The sequence below is a fragment of the Homo sapiens genome, chromosome 9 (genome assembly GCF_000001405.40).
Source record: "Homo sapiens chromosome 9, GRCh38.p14 Primary Assembly".
In the NCBI taxonomy this organism is placed as follows: Eukaryota; Metazoa; Chordata; class Mammalia; order Primates; family Hominidae; genus Homo; species Homo sapiens.
In genome coordinates this window covers 83,718,815-83,739,044 of record NC_000009.12, presented here as the reverse complement: position 1 = coordinate 83,739,044, position 20,230 = coordinate 83,718,815, and the positions used below count along the sequence as shown (strand labels likewise).

General features: G+C 40.0%; 1 long non-coding RNA gene across 1 annotated transcript; it reads left to right on the top strand.

The window, feature by feature from the left end:
* The first annotated feature begins 1,601 nt into the window (after positions 1 to 1,601).
* On the top strand, positions 1,602 to 19,870 carry LOC124902191 (uncharacterized). Its single transcript, XR_007061617.1, has 2 exons — positions 1,602 to 6,880; positions 19,485 to 19,870. It is a non-coding gene; the product is annotated as an uncharacterized LOC124902191 (long non-coding RNA).
* The last annotated feature ends 360 nt before the right edge of the window (positions 19,871 to 20,230 follow it).

Sequence of the window (20,230 nt, the reverse complement as noted above, 5' to 3'; positions counted from 1 at the left end):
CGGGAGGCTGAGGCAGGAGAATCGCTTGAACCTCGGAGTCAGAGGTTGTAGTGAGCTGGGTGACACAGAGAGACTCTGTCTCAAAAAAAAAAAAAAAAAAAAAAAGGTGGGGGTGGGTAAAACAAGAGCAAAAAATAATTACCATAGATAGTAGAGTGTGAAATCACATTGTTTGGAGATGGAGAAAACTTGCATGAAATAGCTTTTAAAGGGTAGATATTTTTTCTGTAAATTTATTGACAGGCGGTCCAGGCAGGCAGAATGAAAAACAGTCTGTGGGCTGGGAATGGTGGCTCATGCCTGTAATCCCAGCACTTTAGGAGGCAGCGGTAGGAGGGTCACTTGAGCCCAGGAGTTCAAAACCATCCTGGGCAACATGGTGAGATCCTGTCTCTAAAAAAAAAAATTAGCCAGGTGTGGTGGCATGTGCCTGTAGCCCCAGCTACGCAGGAGGCTGAGGTGAGAGGATCACTTGAGTCTGGGAGGTCAAGGATGCAGTAAGCTGTGATCTTAACACTGAACGGATGACAAAGAAAGAAAAGAATTAGGGCTGGGTGCAGTAACTCACACCTGTAATCCCAGCACTTTGGGAGGCTGAGGCGGATGGATTGTTTGAGCCCAGGAGGTCGTAACCAGCCTGGGCAACATGACGAAACCCTGTCTGTATAAAACTAATAATAATAATGTCTGTGAATGCTTTCACCATAAGATAAGGGCTAAGCCAAGGTTGTCTAATCTCCACACTTCCCCCATGTCAATACTGTATAGATGATCCTACCTCATGCAGTAAAACAAGAAAAAAAAGTGTACAGATTGCAAACAAACAAAAACAATTTGGCTTGAGAATAATAACATGACTCACTGGGAATAGAAAGAGTACTTGTAGCTGGGTTTGGTGGCTCATGCCTGTAATCCCAACACTTTAGGAAGCTGAGGTGGAAGGATCACTTGAGTCCAGAAGTTCAAGACCAGTCTGGGCAACATAGTGAGAACCCATTCCTACGAGGAATTTTTAAATAATCAGCCAGTTGTGGTGGCATGTGCCTGTGGTCCTAGCTACTTTGGAGGCTGAGGTGGGAGGATTGCTTCAGCCTGGGAGGTTGAGACTGCAGTGAGCCGTGATTGCAACGCTGCACTTCAGCCTGGACAACAAAGTAAGACACCGTCTCAAAAAAAAAAAAAAAGTCGGCGGGAGCTTTGGTGTGTAGGAGGAATAAATGAGAGATTTTTCACTAGTCTAATCAATTGCTATAATAATTAGTAGTTTATGGGATTCAACTGTTTTTAGTAGAGGCAGTAAAATACAATTATGATTCATTAAAATACAGGATTTTAGGCCAGGCACAGTGGCTCATACCTGTAATCCCAGCACTTTGGGAGGCTGAGGCAAGTGGATCATTTGAGGCCCGGAGTTCCAGACCAGCCTGGTCAACATGGTGAAATCCTGTCTCTCCTAAAAATACAAAAATTAGCCAGTTGTGGTGGTGTATGCCTATAGTCCCAGCTACTGGGGAGGCTGAAGCACAAGAATTGGTTGAACCCCGGAGGTGGAGGTTGCAGTGAGCTGAGATCACACTGCTGCATGCCAGCCTGGGCAGCAGAGCAAGACGCTGTCTCAAAAAAATAAAAGTAAAATACAATTTTGTGTGTGTGATAACAAAGATGAACACATAAATGCTGGTCTTCAATTGAACAGAATAGGTAACCCAGAAATAAGGCTGCACACCTGCAACTGTCTGATATTTAACAAACCTGACAAAAATAAGCAATGGGGGAAGGATTCCCTATTTAATAAATAGTGCTGGGATAACTGGCTAACCATATGCAGAAAACAGAAACTGGACCCCTTCCTTACACCATATGCAAAAATTAAGATGGATTAAAGACTTAAATGTAAAACTCCAAACTGTAAAGACTCTGGAAGACAACCTAAGCAGTCCTATTCTGGACATAGAAACAGGCAGAGATTTCATGATAAAGACACCAAGAGCAATTGCAACAAAAGCAAAATTTAACAAACAGGATCTAATTAAAGAGCTTCTGCACAGCAAAGGAAACTATCAACAGAGTGAACAGACAGCCTACAGAATGGGAGAAAATTTTTGCAAACTATGCATCCGACAAAGGTCTAATACCCAGCATCTATAAGGAACTTAAATTTACAAGAAAAAAAAAACATTAAAGAGTGGGCAAAAGACATGGACAGACACTTTTCAAAAGAAGACATACAGCCAACAATCATGAAAAAAAAGCTCAACATCACTGATCATTAGAGAGAGGCAGATTGAAATCACAGTGAGATACCACATCACACCAGTAAGAATGGCTGCTGTTAGTCAAAAAATAACAGATGGCTGGCGAAGTTGTGGACAAAAAGGAATGCTTATACACTCTTGGTGGGAGTGTAAAATAGTTCAATCATTGAGGATGATAGTGTGGCGATTTCTCAAATAACTAAAAACAGAAATACAATTTGACCCAGCAGTCCCATTACTGGGTATATATCCAGAGGAATATAGATCGTTCTGTCATAAAGACACATGCACACGTGTTCATTGCAGCACTGTTCACAATAGCAAAAATGTGGAATCCACCTAAATGGCCATCAATGGCAGACTGGATAAAGAAAATGTGGTGCAAATACACGATAAATACTATGCAGCCATTAAAAAAAAAAAAAAACAGCAAAATTGTGTCATTTGCAGGAACATGGATGGAGCTGGAGGCCAGTATCCTTAGCTAACACAGGGACAGGAAACCAAATACCTCATGTTCTCACTTAACAAGTGAGGGCTAAATGAAAACACACGAATGCATAGGGGGAGCGACATACACTGGGGCCTACCAGAGGGTGGAGAGTGGAAGGAGTGAGAGGATCAGGAAAAATAACCAGTGGGTACTAGGCTTAGTACCTGGGTGATTTAATAATTTGTACAACCCCTGTGACACAAGCTTACCTATGTAACAAACCTGCAATGTACCCCTGAACTTAAAATTTTTTAAAATGCTGGTCTTGGCCTCCAAAACCAGCCTTATATGAAAAATTCCACTTCATGACAGTCTTTGAAAAAAGAAAAACGCAAAGGTAATGAAATTGTCATCATTGCTTATATATGTCTGGCCTCTCCCATGAGGTTGTATGAACATTGCAAAGGAATGTAGTTATAAGGCGTATAGAAAACAGCAAAATGACAGAAGTCTTATCAGTAATTACTTTAAATGTAATGGACTACATAATCCAGTCAAAAGACAGAGACTGGCAAAATGGATGTAGATAAAAACCATGATCCAACTAAATGCTCTCCACAGACGCTTGCTTTAGATCCAAAGACACCTGCAACTAAATGCTCTCCACAAGACACTTGATTTAAATCCAAAGACACAGATAGGTTGAAAGTAAAAGGATAGAAATGGATATTCCACACAAATAGTAACCTAAAGAGAATAGAAGTGGCTACATAATATCAGACAAAATAGACTTTAAAAAGTTTGCAAGAGACAAGACATTATGTATTAAAATGTCCAATACAGCAAGTAGATATAATAAACATGCATCTAATAACAAACTATCAAAATATACAAAGCAAAAACTAATAGAATTGGAGAAATAGCTCAACAATGATGGTTGGAGATTTCAATATCCACTCTCAATAATAAATAGAACAACCACACCGAAGATAAGGAAAATAGAGGACTTGAACCACAGAATAAACCAATTGAATCAAACAGACATATACAGAACACTCTACCCAACAACAGAATACCTATTTTTTCTCCAGTGCATATGGAACATTTTCCAGGACAGACCATATATTAGGCCACAAGCTAAGTCTCAAAAGACTTTCCATTTTTTTTTTTTTTTGGTCTCATCTGACTCATCTTCCATCAATAGACTTCAAAAGATAGATGTCAAAGTATCTTGTCCAGCCACAAAGATAGGAAGTTAGATATCAGTAACAAAAGAAAAATGGAAAAATTTACAAACTTGTGGAAATTAACACACTCTTAACCAATGGAACAAAGATGAAATTACAAAAGAAGTTGCAAAATACTTAGAGACAAATGAAAACAAAAACACAAAATACCAAAACCTATGGGACACAGTGAAAGCAGTGCTAAGGGGGAAATTACTATAAGTGTTTATATTAAAAAATAAGAAATCTCAAATCAACAACCTAACTTTGCAAAGTAAGGAATTAGAAAAAGAAGAACAAACTAAACCTAAAGCTAGTAGAAGGAAGGAATCCAGAGACTAAAGCAGAGATAAATTAAATTTAAAAAGAGAAAAATAATAGAGAAGATTAACAAAACCAAAAGTTGGTTTTTCAACAAGATTAACAAAATCGACTTCAGCTAGATTAAGAAAAAAAGGAAGAAGACTCAAATTACTAAAATGAGAAATCAAAGTGGGAACATTACTACAAATTCTACAGAAATAAAGGATAAGAGTACTATGAGCAATTGTACACCAACAAATTCGATAACCTAGATGAAATGGAAAAATTACTAGAAACAGAAAATTCACCAAGATTAAACCACAAATAAATAGAAATTTTTAATAGACCTATACCTAGTAAGAAGATTGAATCAATAATCAAACTTTTGTTTTAAGAAAGAAAAGCCCTGGACCTGATGGGAGACGGATGGTGGTGATAATTGTACAATATGAATATACTTTATGTCACTAAACTGTACACCTAAAAATGATGAAGATTTTAAATTTTATGCTATGTGTATTTACGTTATATGTATTCCCTACCATAAAAAAGTAGAGAAAAAACAATATTAGGCTCTTCACATAAAGAAAAATCTAAATGGCCTGCAATCCTAGGTACTTGGGAGGCTAAGGCAGAACAATCACTTGAACCCAGGAGGTGGAGGTTGCAGTGAGCTGAGATTGTGCCATTGCACTCCAGCCTGGGCAACAAGAGCAAAATTCCGCCTCAAAAAACAAAAACAAAAACAAAAAAAACAACATACACAGAAAGAATTTAAATGACAGTAATGCAGGAAATGAGAAATCAAAATGCTATAAGGCATATAGAAAATAAACAGCAAAATGACAGCAGTTTTTTCTTATTAGTAATTACTTTAAATGTAAATGGACTAAATAATCCAATCAAAAGAGACTGGCAAAATGGATGTAGATAAAAACCATGATCCAACTAAATGCTCTCCACAAGACACTTGCTTTAGACCCAAAGACACAAATAGGTTGAAAGCGAAAGGATAGAAATGGATATTCCACGCAAATAGTAACCTAAAGAGAATAGAAATGGCTACGTAATATCAGACAAAATAGACTTTAAGTCAAAAAAGGTTGCAAGAGACAAAGAAGATTTTATATATTAATAAAATGTTCAATACAGCAAGTAGATATAATAAACATTTATGCATCTAGTAAACTATCAAAATTTATGAAGCAAAAACTAATAGAATTGAATGGAGAAATTGTTCTACAATGATAGTTGGAGACTTCAATATCCCACTCTCAACATTAAATAGAACAACCACACCGAAGATAAGGAAAATAGAACCACAGAATAAACCAATTGGATCAAACAGACATATACAGAACACTCTACCCAACAAAGAATTCCTCTACCAACATGGCAAAAATTTAAAAGTCTGATAATAACCAGGATTGGTGAAATTTGGGACCAACCAAAATTCTCTTACAGAACTGGCGGTAGTGTAAATTGTTACAACCATTTTGGAACATATTTTGGCATTACCTTGCAAAGCTGAAGATTCATGGATCTCATAACCCAGCAATTCCACCCTTACGTATGTGTACCCTGAAGAATCTTACGTACATATTCATAGAAGCATCATTTGTTATAGTAAAAAACTGGGGAAAAGAAATCCATCTGAAATAGATTAACAAGCCTCCCCTATATAGTAACAATATGGATGGATCTCAAACAATACTATGTGAAAGAAGAAAGAAAGAATACAAATAGTACGATTTTAGACATATGAAATTTGAAAATAGGCAAAATTAATTACATATTGATATTTTACAGATGATAACATACAAAATCAAATACATGATTATCATGAAAATCATTTTATTGTTTATCTCTAGGGGCTGGGAGAGGATTATGATAGGAAGAGACACACCAGGGTAATCTTTTGGGCTGCTGGTTCTATTCCTTGACCTTGGATACAATTGTATATTTATGCATATCTTAATATATATCTAAATTATATATATGATGTGCTTTATGTACCACATAATATATATCACAAAATTCTTAAAAGGGGGACTGTTTGCAAGCATCTCTTATCTTAAATACTCTCCATAAGGCAGTTACATGTTATGTTAGAAAACTAAAATAATCCTAGACCCTAGACCCTTAAATAAAATAAACTATTTAAATATTTCTAGGAAGAAACAATTAGGCTTTTTCCTCCCTCTTAAAAACGTATGGATGTGTCTGGGGCCCTGGAAGACTCTAAATGTTCATTTTGCCTTTTTTGTGATTTTAAAAATATTCTCGATTTTGCCCTTTTGAGAAATAATGAGCAAAAGGGGGAATTTTTGAACACCACGTAAATTTTAAAAGTGTACTTTAAACAGTATACATGACTACAATTGGGAATACTATATGCTGAGTAGTAATCTGTGATTTAAGATCACAGTAATGCATTGGCCATAGCTCTTACTTGCTTTAGAGCGTTGATTGTGTGCATCTTTTCCCAGGTTCATACTGAGTAATGTCGTATCATATTGATATCTTGAAATTGAATATGGTGGAATATTTACAGCATGGAAATTGGCAAATGATACAAGCTACAAATGCACCCCCTTCCCTACCCCAGCCATTTGTTAAACATTTATCAGCACACCACTGCTTAAGGACTAAGAGTTCTGAATGTAAGTTTAAACTTTTTTTTCATTAGTTTTCGTATCTTTGGAGAAGCTTAATCTGCTTGACAAACAGCTCTGTCAAGGCAGTCAAGTATTTCTTAGGACTAAAACAAATATGCATCTCTAACAAGATAATTGGTGTAAAACTCAGAAAAGAATAAATTGAAATGTAGAAAAAAATGGAAGAATAAACACAATTTGGCCTGCCTTAGACCATGCCCCTCCCATTTTGTTGCTAATATGAAAAAGAAAAATTACTGAAATAGTCTCCTTTTTAGGCAGTTTGCTCAGCAGTTGAGTTCTACTTCCAACTGCTCCATTTAGGAGAAAATAAAACTGTCCTCTGTTCTTTGGAGGTGAAAACATGGAGGCAGTTTCTCTATTTGGAATATCATGAAATTTGGGGTGACTGTGTTTAGTATTTGATGTAAAGTTTTTTTCTCTTTGTCCCAGCTCCCTGAAGCTATTTAATAAAGGCCTTTACATGGGCGCGGTGGCTCACGCCTGTAATCCCAGCACTTTGGGAGGCAGAGGCGGACAGATCACGAGGTCAGGAGATCGAGACCATCCTGGCTAACACAATGAAACCCCGTCTCTACTAAAAATACAAAAAATTAGCCGGGCATGGTGGCGGGCGCCTGTAGTCCCAGCTACTCGGGAGGCTGAGGCAGGAGAATGGCGTGAACCCGGGAGGCAGAGCTTGCAGTGAGCCGAGATTGCGCCACTGCACTCCAGCCTGGACGATAGAGCGAGACTCTGTCTCAAAATAAATAAATAAATAAATAAATAATTAAAGACGTTTACAGTTTTATTGCTCTTGTATTAATCAGGGATACAGAAGTATTATTTATCCAGCTTTTCCATCAAATGGAAAACTTTATAATAGCCCTTCTAAAGTGAGATGTAGATACTACATGCTTGTGAGATGCAGTGGCCTTTAGTGAGTTAATGTCTAATGAAGGAAAATGGGATGGAAATCCAGAAAACCCAGACTATGTTTTGGCTGTGTTGACCATTTACCCGATGATAGCAATTTAGTTGTCCTTTGCCTCAGTCTCTTCATTCTAAGACTTAGACTTACAATACTGGTCATATAATTCATAAAGATTTGCACTTATCTTTTGGAGCATGTTGGGATAGAGGCAGTGTATGAAGTGGTAAAATAGATTTAATGGTCCAACACCAAACAAGACAAAAATAACTTCTGCATTTCAATAAAGGCTATGTTTTCTTCCTCCTCTTCCTTTTTCTTCCCCTTCTCCTCCTCTTTCTCCTTTTTCTCCTCCTTGTTTCTTCTTCTTTTTTGTAGAGGTGGCGGTCTTGTTTTGTTGATCAGGCTGGTCTCAAACTCCTGGGCTCAAGGAGTACTGGCCTCCTGAAGTACTGGGATTACAGCCTTGGCCTCCTGAAGTACTGGGATTACAGATGTAAGCCACTTCACCCAGCCTCACCCACTTTTACTTTTGTGCCTTGTGATCTATTTCTTTTATTCTTTTTTTTAACTTTTATTTTAGGGTCAGGGGTACATGTACAGGTTTGTTATATATGTAAATTGCATATCACGGGGGTTTAGTGTACAGATTATTTCTCCACCCGGGTAATAAGCATAGTAACTGATAGGTAGTTGTTTGATCTTCACCCTTCTCCCTCCCTCCACCTTCAAGTAGGCATTGGTGTCTGTTATTCCATTCTTTGTGTCCGTATGTACTCAAAAGTTTAGCTCTCACTTGTAAGTGAGAACATGTGGTATTTGCTTTTCTGTTCCCGTGTTAGTTCACTAGGATACTGGCCTCTGGCTCCATCTATGTAGCTATAAATGATGTGATCTTGTTCTTTTTTTGGCTGCACAGTATTCTATGGTGTTTGTGTACAACATTTTCTTTATCCAGTCCACCGTTGATGGGCATTTTGGTTGATTCCATGTCTTTGTTGTTGTGAATAGTGCTGTGATGCTGTGATGAACATACACATGCATGTGTCTTTATGGTAGAATGATTTATTTTCCTTTGGGTATATGCCCAATAATGGAATCGCTGGGTTGAGAGGTAATTCTGCTTTGAGTTCCTTGAGAAATCGCCAAATTGCTTTTCACAATGGCTGAACGTGTGTGTTTAGTACACTGAACCTAAGAGATTTGGCTTCTACTTTGCAGAAAAGCTACTCCTTTTGAAAGCATACTCTCTCTCCTGCTCCTCCTCCTCTTTCTCTTCCTTTTTCCTCTTCTTTCCTCTCTCCCTTCCTCCCTTGCATTGTACTGGCTTGCTTAGCAGTGAATTTTAAGATACAGCCTTCTAAAAAAAAAATGGCTAGTTGTTGTGTAAGATATTTTACAGAGTCTAAACTCCTACAAAAATAGGTCTAAGCCCAGTCCAGCCTGCCTGTAAAGTTTTCATTTAATTATCAAATTCAGCCTATATTTAGAATAACATTCTAATTACACTGTTCACTTAGATGTATTTTTGTACTGATTTTTTTAAATTCACAGTTTCATAGGGGAAACAGCCTCTTTTGAGGTTGAAAAAACAATATTTGTGCTGAAAAATTTTAGTTGCTTTTTTCTTTTTTTTTTTAAATTGTTGAAGAGAAATTTTATGAAATTGTCAACTAATTCTTTATAATATAAATATATAAACATTTGTGGTAATTCTTATAAACAGTTCTGACCAATTCCTTTCATGAAAAGCAGTGTGCTCTGTAGTAATTGCTAAGCAAACAGAAAGCTGTGTTGCAAAGTGGTTTTTTTTTGTTTTGTTTTGTTTTTAGCTTTTTTTTTTTTAATTTTTTTTTTTTTTTAATTGATCATTCTTGGGTGTTTCTCGCAGAGGGGGATTTGGCAGGGTCATAGGACAATAGTGGAGGGAAGGTCAGCAGATAAACAAGTGAACAGAGGTCTCTGGTTTTCCTAGGCAGAGGACCCTGCGGCCTTCCGCAGTGTTTGTGTCCCTGGGTACTTGAGATTAGGGAGTGGTGATGACTCTTAACGAGCATGCTGCCTTCAAGCATCTGTTTAACAAAGCATATCTTGCACCGCCCTTAATCCATTTAACCCTGAGTGGACACAGCACATGTTTCAGAGAGCACAGGGTTGGGGGTAAGGTCACAGATCAACAGGATCCCAAGGCAGAGGAATTTTTCTTAGTACAGAACAAAATGAAAAGTCTCCCGTGTCTACCTCCTTCTACACAGACACGGCAACCATCCGATTTCTCAATCTTTTCCCCACCTTTCCCCCTTTTCTATTCCACAAAACCGCCATTGTCATCATGGCCCGTTCTCAATGAGCTGTTGGGTACACCTCCCAGACGGGGTGGTGGCCGGGCAGAGGGGCTCCTCACCTCCCAGTAGAGGCGGCCGGGCAGAGGCGCCCCTCACCTCCCGGACGGGGCGGCTGGCCGGGCGGGGGGCTGACCCCCCCACCTCCCTCCCGGTAGTTGCTTTTTTCTCCACCAGATTTTAAAGTGAGAACTATGTTGGAGGTTGCCAGGCCCTGCTAGGCTCAGTCAATACAAGAATCCTTCTGTAGCATCATGTAATATACCCATGTAACAAACCTGCACGTGTACCCCTGAATCTAAAATAAAAGTTGAAATTATTTTAAGAAAAAGAATACATACATTCATAGATACATTTCCATCTATAATTATATCTATACTGAAAACCATGAGTTCAACTGATTCTAATCCAGTATTGTAATTTCATTCTAGTTTTCTCGCTTACCATATTTGTAATTCCCTTCTCAGACAGTAAGAGACCTGGCTCCCATTATCCTTAATATCCTTACAATTGAGTCTTATTACTCACAGTAGTTACACTCTATAAAGTCCCCGGGAACACCGAATTACTAAATACTGAACAACTGGTCAGAGAAGAAGCACAGAGTTTGGTTCCTCCAAGTCTCTGGTCACAGCATTTCTATCCACTGATCAATATGTAACCTTCTTTTATGTGTGTTTCTATTTAAGGACCCTTACTTAATATATATTGTTCATTCATTAAAATTAAACTCATGGCCACAGCACTATAACTCATGCCTAACAAAGCTTATCTAATATGTGTTGTCTCCATAAGGCACATCACAGCCTTCTTGTGCTTAAGAACGCTAGTCTGCACTTCAGCCCTATGCTTGGGGCCATTTTAAACAGTGAAATCACCACAAAAAGCAAAAAATGCCTTTTTAAAAAATTTGGCAGTAAATAAACTGTGGAAAAGATACTTGTTTACAGTATGAGAGCTGAAATGAAACAAGAAGGCCTCAGCTGGGAATGTGTATATCCAGCAACTTAAGTTTTTTGTTGCTATGTGCATGTCCATGAATGGTCATGAAAGCATCACAAGTATTGATTTTGAGGTTACAAATACATTTTACCAAGTAGGCAAATTCTCAAATATGGAATCCACAAACAATGAGGATCAATTGTATTTATTTCATGAATGTCCTCATTTGTAACCCATCTCCTATCGGTGCTGCCTCCCCACTCCACTGTGGGAATGCCCTTCTCACCCTGCTCAGTCTCTGACACTCAGCTCTGGCTATAGTGCCTGCCACCATGCCCCCCTACCTTCTTCTCTTGCACTCTTGAACCCACCTGTTGACTTTAGGACTGAATTAGGAAGAGAAAGGAGAAGGATACTACTTCACTTTGAAAGTTTAAAAAGAATCTGTCTAAATCAATGAGGCATTTCAGAGGTAGGGAAGAAATAAAACATGTATGTCTCACTGAGCTTAAGGAATAAAGTAATACGGATACAATTGAGGCACATCTTTCCATGTATTCTTCCCCAATTCCATTCCCTTTCTCTCAAAGGTGGTTACTATCTTCATTTATTTGTTTTTATTCCTATGCATGTTTTTATACCATAATATATTGTTTTGCATATTTTAAAACTTGATATAAATGATATACTATATGTAGTGATATACGACTTGCATTTGTTTCTGCTGAATGTTTTTTAGATTTTGCTAAATTGATACCTATATCTCTGGTTTGCTGATTTTGCTTGCTGTATCATATTCTGCTATATGAATATGATACATAAATATGTTATTTCCCACTTTAATTATTACAAACAGTGTTGCAATAAATATTCTTGTACATGTCTCTTGTGATACTATAAGGGAGTTTTCTAAGACCTATACTTAGAAGTAGAATTGCTGGATTGTTGGATGTGAGTATCATCAACTTTACTGGATAATGTCAGTATTATTTTCCAAAGTGGCTATACCAATTTACACTCCCAGTAGCAGTATGTGAAACTTCCCTTTTCTTTACAGCCTTAACAACACTTACTATTGTCAGATTTGTTTTTGCCTATAAGTATAATGGGTATGAAATAATACCTTGTTTAAATTTGTATTTTTCCATATAAACTAATGAGATTGAGCATTTCTTAGGCGTTTACATTTGAGTGAAATGCTCATTTTTCTTTTAGGTATTTTTTTCTTATTTATATGCAGGTATTCTTGATATATTCTGGATACTAATTGTTGTTTATGTGTTTCCCACATACACTTTGCAGCATATGGCTTGTCTTTTCATTTTGTTTATAAAGTTTTTGATGTACAGAAGTTTTTTATTTTATTTATTTATTTATTTTGAGACAAGGTCTCACTCTGTCACCCAGGCTGAAGTGCAGTGGTGTGATCATGGCTCCCTGCAGCCTTGAAGACCTCTTGGGCTCAAGTGGTCCTCCTGCCTCAGCCTCCTGAGTAGCTGGGACTACAAGGCATGCACCACCACATCTGGCTAATGTTTTTTCTTTTTTCTTTTCGTAGAGATTAAGTCTCACTATGTTGCCCAGGCTGGTCTCAAACTCCTGAGCTCAAGTGATCCTCTTGCCTCAGTCTCCCTGAGTGTTGGGATTATAGCTGTGAGCCATTGCACCCAGCCAGAAGGTGTTTTGTTTTGTTTTGTTTTGTTTTGTTTTGTTTTGTTTTGTTTTTTGAGACGGACTCTCGGTCTGTGGCCCAGGCTGGAGTGCAGTGGCACAGTCTCGGCACAATGCAACCGCCTCCTGGGTTCAGGCGATTCTCCTGCCTCAGCCTCCCGAGTAGCTGGGATTACAGGTGCGGGTCACTGCGCTTGGCTAATTTTTGTATTTTTAGTAGAGACAGGTTTTTTTTAATTTTAATGTAGTTATTTAAGTGTTTTTGTTATGATTTGTGCTTTTTGCATCTTTTTAAAGAAATCCTTTGCTAGCTTCTAAAAGTTACTAAGTTTTGCTTTCCACATTTAGGTTACCAATCCCATACATAAACTTCTTGCTTACCCCACTCAAGCTATGACACCATCTTCCAATGATGGTTTGGATGTGGTTTGTCCCCACCAAAAGTCATGTTGAAATTTGATTCCCGATGTGGCAGTGTTGGGAGGTGGGGGTCTAGTGAGAGGTGTCTGGGTTATGGGTGGCAGATTTCTCATGAATAGATTAATGCCAAGTGAGTTCTTACTGTTAAGGAGTGGATTAGTTCTCTCAAAAGTGGGTTGTTACAAGGTGAGGTTCCTCCTGTTTGGCCCCCCTTTGTACATGTCCACTGCCCCCTGTGACTTTCTGCCATGTTATGACATAACCAGAAAACCCTCACCAGAAGCCAGTGCCATTCCCTTGAACTTCCCAGTCTGCAGAACTATGAGTGAAATAAACCTCTGTTCTTTAAACATGACCCAGGCCTAGCTATTCTGTTATAGCAACACAAAACAGACTAAGATAGTCAATATGTATATCAATACAGTCATACTCTTCAGGGATTGCACCTTGATTATACACAATTGAAACAGAGTGCTTAATCTTTCATGAAACTTCAGAGTTTGTCTTATAAACAGTTGAGCATTTCACCCTAAACTTAATTGAAGACTATTAGGAGGCCAGGCGCAGTGGTTCATGCCTGTAAACTCAGCACTTTGGGAAGCCAAAGCAGGTGGATCACCTGAGGTCAGGAGTTCGAGACCAGCCTGGCCAACATGGTGAAACCCCATCTCTACAAAAAATATAAAAATTAGCTGGGCATGGTGGTGCTTGCCTGAGTCCCAGCTACTCAGGAGGCTAAGGTAGGAGAACTGCCTGAACCCAGGAGGCAGAGGTGGTTGCAGTGAGCCAAGATCACACCACTGCACTGCAGCCTGGGTAACAGACCGAGACTCCATCTCAAAAAAAAAAAAAAGAAAAGAAAAGACTATTAGGGAGTTCTTACAATTAGCATTTTTGTAAACCTTAGTAATTAAGTGATTTTTCTTTTTTCTGTAACTCTAAATTCTCCCAATGTGGGGAATGTACTTATAAATAATAAATTAATTAAAGTGTTGCCATTTCTTAACTGGAATTATGCTAGTTTGAGGATCTTATTCTATAGAGTAGCATGGGCCAAATCAGATCTGCTGCCTGTTTGCCTACAGCCTGTGAGTAATAATAGTTTTTACATTTTTTTATGGTTGAAAAAAAAAGAAAAATATTTCATAACATATGAAAAGCAGAAGAAATCCCAATTTCAGTATCCACAAGTGAAGTTTTATTATAACATTGATTGCTACACTGATTCATTTACATATTGTCTATGGCTGCTTTAGTGCTTACAACAGCTGAGTAATTGCAACAGAGACTGTATAGTATGCAAAGCTCAAAATAGTTACAGCCTCACAAGATAGTGTTCCCTGTGAGAGCAAAGGGCAGGAAGGTTTACTGCCTATTATAAAAGATTTGGGTTCCCTAAGCTCAGAGTTCCTCTCTTGTAATGCAGTCTACTACATGTACTGATGACATTTGGCCCTCTTTGAGTTGCCACAACTCTGGCAGCTAGGCCTTGGGGAACTGGCACACTAAAATACTGATATTTTGCCTACCGTATTGCTGTCAGTAATAAGGTCCTTTGTTTCAGGAGTCTTATGTCTTCTATCCACATCCATAAAATTGTGGCAGACTAACTTGTTTTTTGTTTTTGTGTTTTTTTGAGATGGAGTCTCACTCTGTCACCCAGGCTGGAGTGCAATGGCATGACCTGGGCTCACTGCAACCTCTGCCTCCCAGGTTCAAGTGATTTTCCTGCCTCAGCCTCCCCAGTAGCTGGGATTACAGGCATGTGCCACCGCACCCAGCTAAGTTTTGTATTTTTAGCAGAAACGGGGTTTCACCATGTTGGCCAGGCTGGTCTTGAACTCCTGACCTCAGGTGATCTACCTGCCTTGGCCCCCCAAAGTGCTGGAATTACAGGCATGAGCCACCATGCCTGGCCTCAGACTAACTTGTTAGTTGGCATGTAGAGTAAAACCTCAGATGCTTCACAGTTCTTGAAAGTTTTGATACCCAGGATGGGATGCTGTCAGAGACGTGGCTTTTTGGAAGAGGAAAGATAGGGGTCTTGTGGCCTCATTAATGGGATTTTAGGGAATCATCAGGAAGTCCAAAGGAACCTATTGATTAAATTGTATTCTCAATCAGGCTACACATTGTTCTCCATTTTACTGCCTGTTAATGAGGAAGAATTGGAAAGGTGGTCGCAGGCCAACTACTGGGAAATAGGTTTAATGACAGCTACCCAAATGGTGGCCTGGTTGTTGCTGACTCTTCTCTGGGTGAGAGAACTTCTTTGTCAATCTGCAAGTTACTCCATTGTAACTACAGCTAAATTTTGCCTTCTTTCAAACAATGAAGAGTATGCACTTACATTGAACATAAAAGGGAAATATGCAACTGCTATGGGCAGAAACCAAGTAAATTTTTAGAACTTTGACTGGTTTACTTGGGAGATGAGGGTGTAGGTGTGTAATGTTTGATAAGAAAGGCAACAGCTAGGCTATTTTACAGCTCAGGTCTTCCTTTAGTCTATCATGCTAATCTTAGATCCATCTGGAGATGACAGTAAAAAGTCTTGGAATTTTTTGCAGTGCACATGGACTGCCACAAAAAGCTTTGGTCCTCTGAGAGAGATTTTCCTGAGACACATAACTCCTGTGGGAAATGATAAATGAGGCATTCAGATTACTATTAAGGCTCTAACAAACTGCCTCAGACTGAGATTACAATGTTGATGAGGTAACCAACTGAAGAATAAGAAACCCAAAGAAATCTAGATAACTTCTTGTAATTAGCCCTGCCGTCATGGAAGACTCCACCTATCACTTATGTTGAATTTAAGAGATGTTATTTTGATAATGGGGCAGCAGATATCCCAGATTAAGGTGGACTCCTCAAAAAGGTCACATTTTGTGAGCCAAGCCCTAAGGGCACAAACCCCAGACATACTTGGAAAATGTGGTTCTGGCTGCCACAGTTCCCAAGGCTGAAACACTATGAGCAAATTAAGACTTTGCAACCTTATATATGGCTTTCAGTGGATGGAAAACATTGGAAGTTTGTTTGGTTAAGCTGTGGTCAGCCACTGCATAGCTTAAAATGCACCTTGCTTACTGTGCATAGTCACTCTCTCCTGTGCCTCTCAATCCGTCCCTCCCCCACTACCCCAGCCTGATTTAAGGAATAGATGATTAGGAGTTTCCTGGTCACCAAGGGGTACTGAAGATCTATGCACCTGTCAAGTGTGCTGGGGAACTTTGGGGAGGGGAGGAACTCCAATTCTTATGGTTTTGCTGGATATAGGCATCTGAGTCACTATTCTACCCATTTCCATGGGAGGCACTAGCATGTGGATTCAGCTAATGGAACCTGGGCAGAGTTCACCTGGTGAAGGAGAGCTAATAGGTCGGTGGGACCCGTGGTTCAATCAGTGTATTGTGTATTGCTTTTACATATGAACATATAATAGGAATTGATGTGTTTTATACTTGTGGTCCCTCATCCTGTAAGTGCTATAGGAGAGTCTCCTGATTGGGAAAAGCTGCAGGTAGAAAAGTGCTAGTGCCTGAGGCACCATAGTCCTAACGACCCCTCTAAGTTACAAGTTTATGTGACTGATGATTTTGCTGATTGAAGCCTCTGACAAAGGGGGGCAGCTTCTATCTGGAGGTGCCCTTGGGGTTTGGGACTCATAGCCTCCCTGACATGGCAACCATATATATCCATTTTGAAAAGCACCTGGTAGTTTGCTGCTGGGCTCTTGTTGAAACACAGTGCCTGACTGATAAAGGCCTTTTGACTTCTAGCCTGATATTCCCATTTTGGGGAGCATCAACTTGAACAGAATGACTAACAAGGTGGGAAGGGCTCAACAAGCCTTGTTTGTCAAATGGAAACAATATATTCAAGAATGCCACTGTTCTGGCCCTAGAAGCATCTTGGCTTTATAGGAGAAAGTGGCACCTATCTCTCAGGGAGAAACCTTATCTTTCCCCTTTCCTCCTGACTTTTCTGTCTGAATGAAAGCCACCAGCTCAGTGATGCCTTCAATTCACAATTCATCATCCTAAATGCCTGTGCCTAATTCACACATGGTTTGGCCAAACTGAAACCTGATGGGAGTTGTCTGAGCTGTTGTAGCTGTTCAGCCCTAGTGTTGACTATGTAGAACCAAAAATGGATGTGGTTACTGTATTAGTAGGCAGAATTCAAGGCCAGTTTCTTATCTGTGACCATAGTCCTCTTGATGAACCTTGTTATATTAATACTAACTCTTGGGCTGTTGCACTGGCCTGGCTCTTTGGTCTGCACTTGGAAACTACAAACTAGCAGACTGAAAACACTCCTCTTTGGGGCCATGAACTGTGGAAACAAATCACAGCTGCTGACTCAACTATGTGGGTGCCTCAAGTAGATGTCCATGGTAAAAGCCCAGTCTCTGATGAGGCTGATTGGAGTCAAGCACTGATCAAGCGTGGACTGCCCTGACACCATTGTTGCCTCTGTGCATCATTGTACTAGACATGGTACACACTCATCATCATAGACAGGGCAGAGTAATTTATATACCTGATGCAAAGGCTACCATTGCATGCCAAACCTGTGACTCCTGACAAAAGTTGACACATTTGTCTCACAGTGAATGAGACCATGCTCCTGACATATTAATTTCACTGGACTTTTGACCCCCTCTCATGGATATTGGTGGTGCCTAACTGTTGTTGACACTTTTTCATGTTATTATGTAACTGGTTCAGTCCAATCAGCTGACTTTAGCCACACTGTTGTGGTCCTTGAAACTAATTTGCATCATGCCTTTGAGTTTCTGGACCATTTGCAATCTAGTGCTGCTGTGCCTTTTATGGCAAAAGCCACTCAGTGGGCTAACAATCAAGATACTTAATGGACCTTCCATGCTCCCACTATGCACAGACATTTGGTATTGGTGAGCATTGGAACAATTACCTCAAAAATTAACTCAAAAAGATGTCACTCTATCTCTCACATTTCTTCTTAGTCCACACATTTTGGTACTAGGTATTTTGGTCACTGAATGGGGCTGTCCCCATAAAGGGATCATCTTTTCTTGGCCACTTCCTAGATAATGATCAGGACGAAAGGGATGGGATTGGGTGGGGCATGTGTTGCTTATAAATCTGCCTTGCTGGGCGCAGTGGCTCACGCCTGTAATCCCAGCACTTTGGGAGGCAGAGGCGGGCGGATCACGAGGTCAGGAGATCGAGACCATCCTGGCTCACATGGTGAAACCCCGTCTCTACTAAAAATACAAAAAATTAGCCGGGCGTAGCGGCAGGTGCCTGTAGTCCCAGCTACTCAGGAGGCTGAGGCAGGAGAATGGCGTGAACCCCGGGAGGCAGAGCTTGCAGTGAGCCGAGATTTCACCACTGCACTCCAGCCTGGGCGACAGAGCGAGATTCCATCTCAAAAAAAAAATTAAAAAAAAAATTAAAAATAAATAAATCTGCCTTGAAAATTCAGAATTCCACCCTGGGAATTCCTGGGCATGAAGCTTCTCTCTTTACCCTAATGGCAATCACAGGCCGACCCAGTTGGTACATCCTCTGGGAGGCGGCCAGCCAAAAGGGGGCCTAAGGGATTTAATTCTGGTTCAGCTACTTAGCTCTTGTTTAACAAGGTCCCAGGTCATAAGGATAATGACCACGTGGTTGGGAACATTGCTCCCTATAGTAGCCCATGTGGACCAAAATGGGGGACACAATGGGTCTCTATATGTTTTAGAAAAATATCCTTTTGTTGTTGTTGTTACACCTTGCCTTTCTGGATACAAGATCTGTGTGTGAGAAGGAAATTATTTGACAAAAAGGTGAAGTTACAGCTACTGGATTGAGACACATTGATTTTTTTTTTTTTTTTTGAGATGGTGTCTTGCTCTGTCACCCAGGCTGGAGTGCAGTGGTGCAATCTTGGCTCACTGCAAGCTCCACCTCCCAGATTCAAGCGATTCTTCTGCCTCAGCCTCCTGAGTAGCTGGAATTACAGGCATGTGCCACCATACCTGGCTAATGTGTGTGTGTGTGTGTGTGTGTGTGTGTGTGTGTGTGTGTGTGTGTGTTTTAATAGAGACAGAGTTTCACCATGTTGGTCAGGCTGGTCTCAAACTTCTGACCTCAAATGATCCGCCTGCCTTGGCCTCCCAAAGTGTTGGGATTACAGGCATGAGCCATTGCACCCGGCATGGTGGTGGTGGAGGTAGATTAAACAACCCCAGCACTAGGAGAAGGAACATCTTAGAGCTTGGGAGGCATAGGAAAGGTAGAAATATCAATGATCTTCTATCTTTCAGAGCCATCACTGGATCTTTACTCATGAAGGAAAATAATCTGGTGAGGCTCTCCTGAACTAGCAAACACTTCGAATATGACGGACTACTGCGTCTGCCACATCCTGCCAGACAGCTCTGACTGCAGTTGATTGCCATACTCCTTCACCTTAATAAGAAAACTACTGAAAAGAGCAGAAAATGGCCCAGCTCCTGCATCTCTCATGCAAAACATCTGTCAGCACCTCTGGGTATCTTTCCCACTCCTGCTCCTGTAAATTTTGCTAGTCATTCTATAGAGTAGATGAATACCACCTGGCTGGTGGCAAGGACAAATAGAATGGTATGGACTGAAGGCCCTCGGGCAGTCCCTCCATAAATAAAAACTAGGCTCAGTTATTCAAACTGCACTGGGAATCCTAAGGCCTACCAACCATCTGGGAGGCCCTAATGCGAATCATATGTTGGGGGCTCCAATAATTATAAACAATGTTTTCTTTCCAGGTGCACCACATATACTCCCAGGATTTAATTAATTAATTAATTAATTAATTAATTAATTTTTTGAGGCAGTTTCACTTTGTCACCCAGGCTGGAGTGCAGTGGTGCTATCTTGGCTCACTGCAACCTCTGCCTCCTGGGTTCAAGTGATTCTCATGCCTCAGCCTCCAGAGTAGCTGGGACTACAGGCACACACCACCACACCCAGCTAATTTTTTTTATTTTTAGTAGAGACAAGGTTTCACTATGTTGGCCAGGCTGGTCTTGAA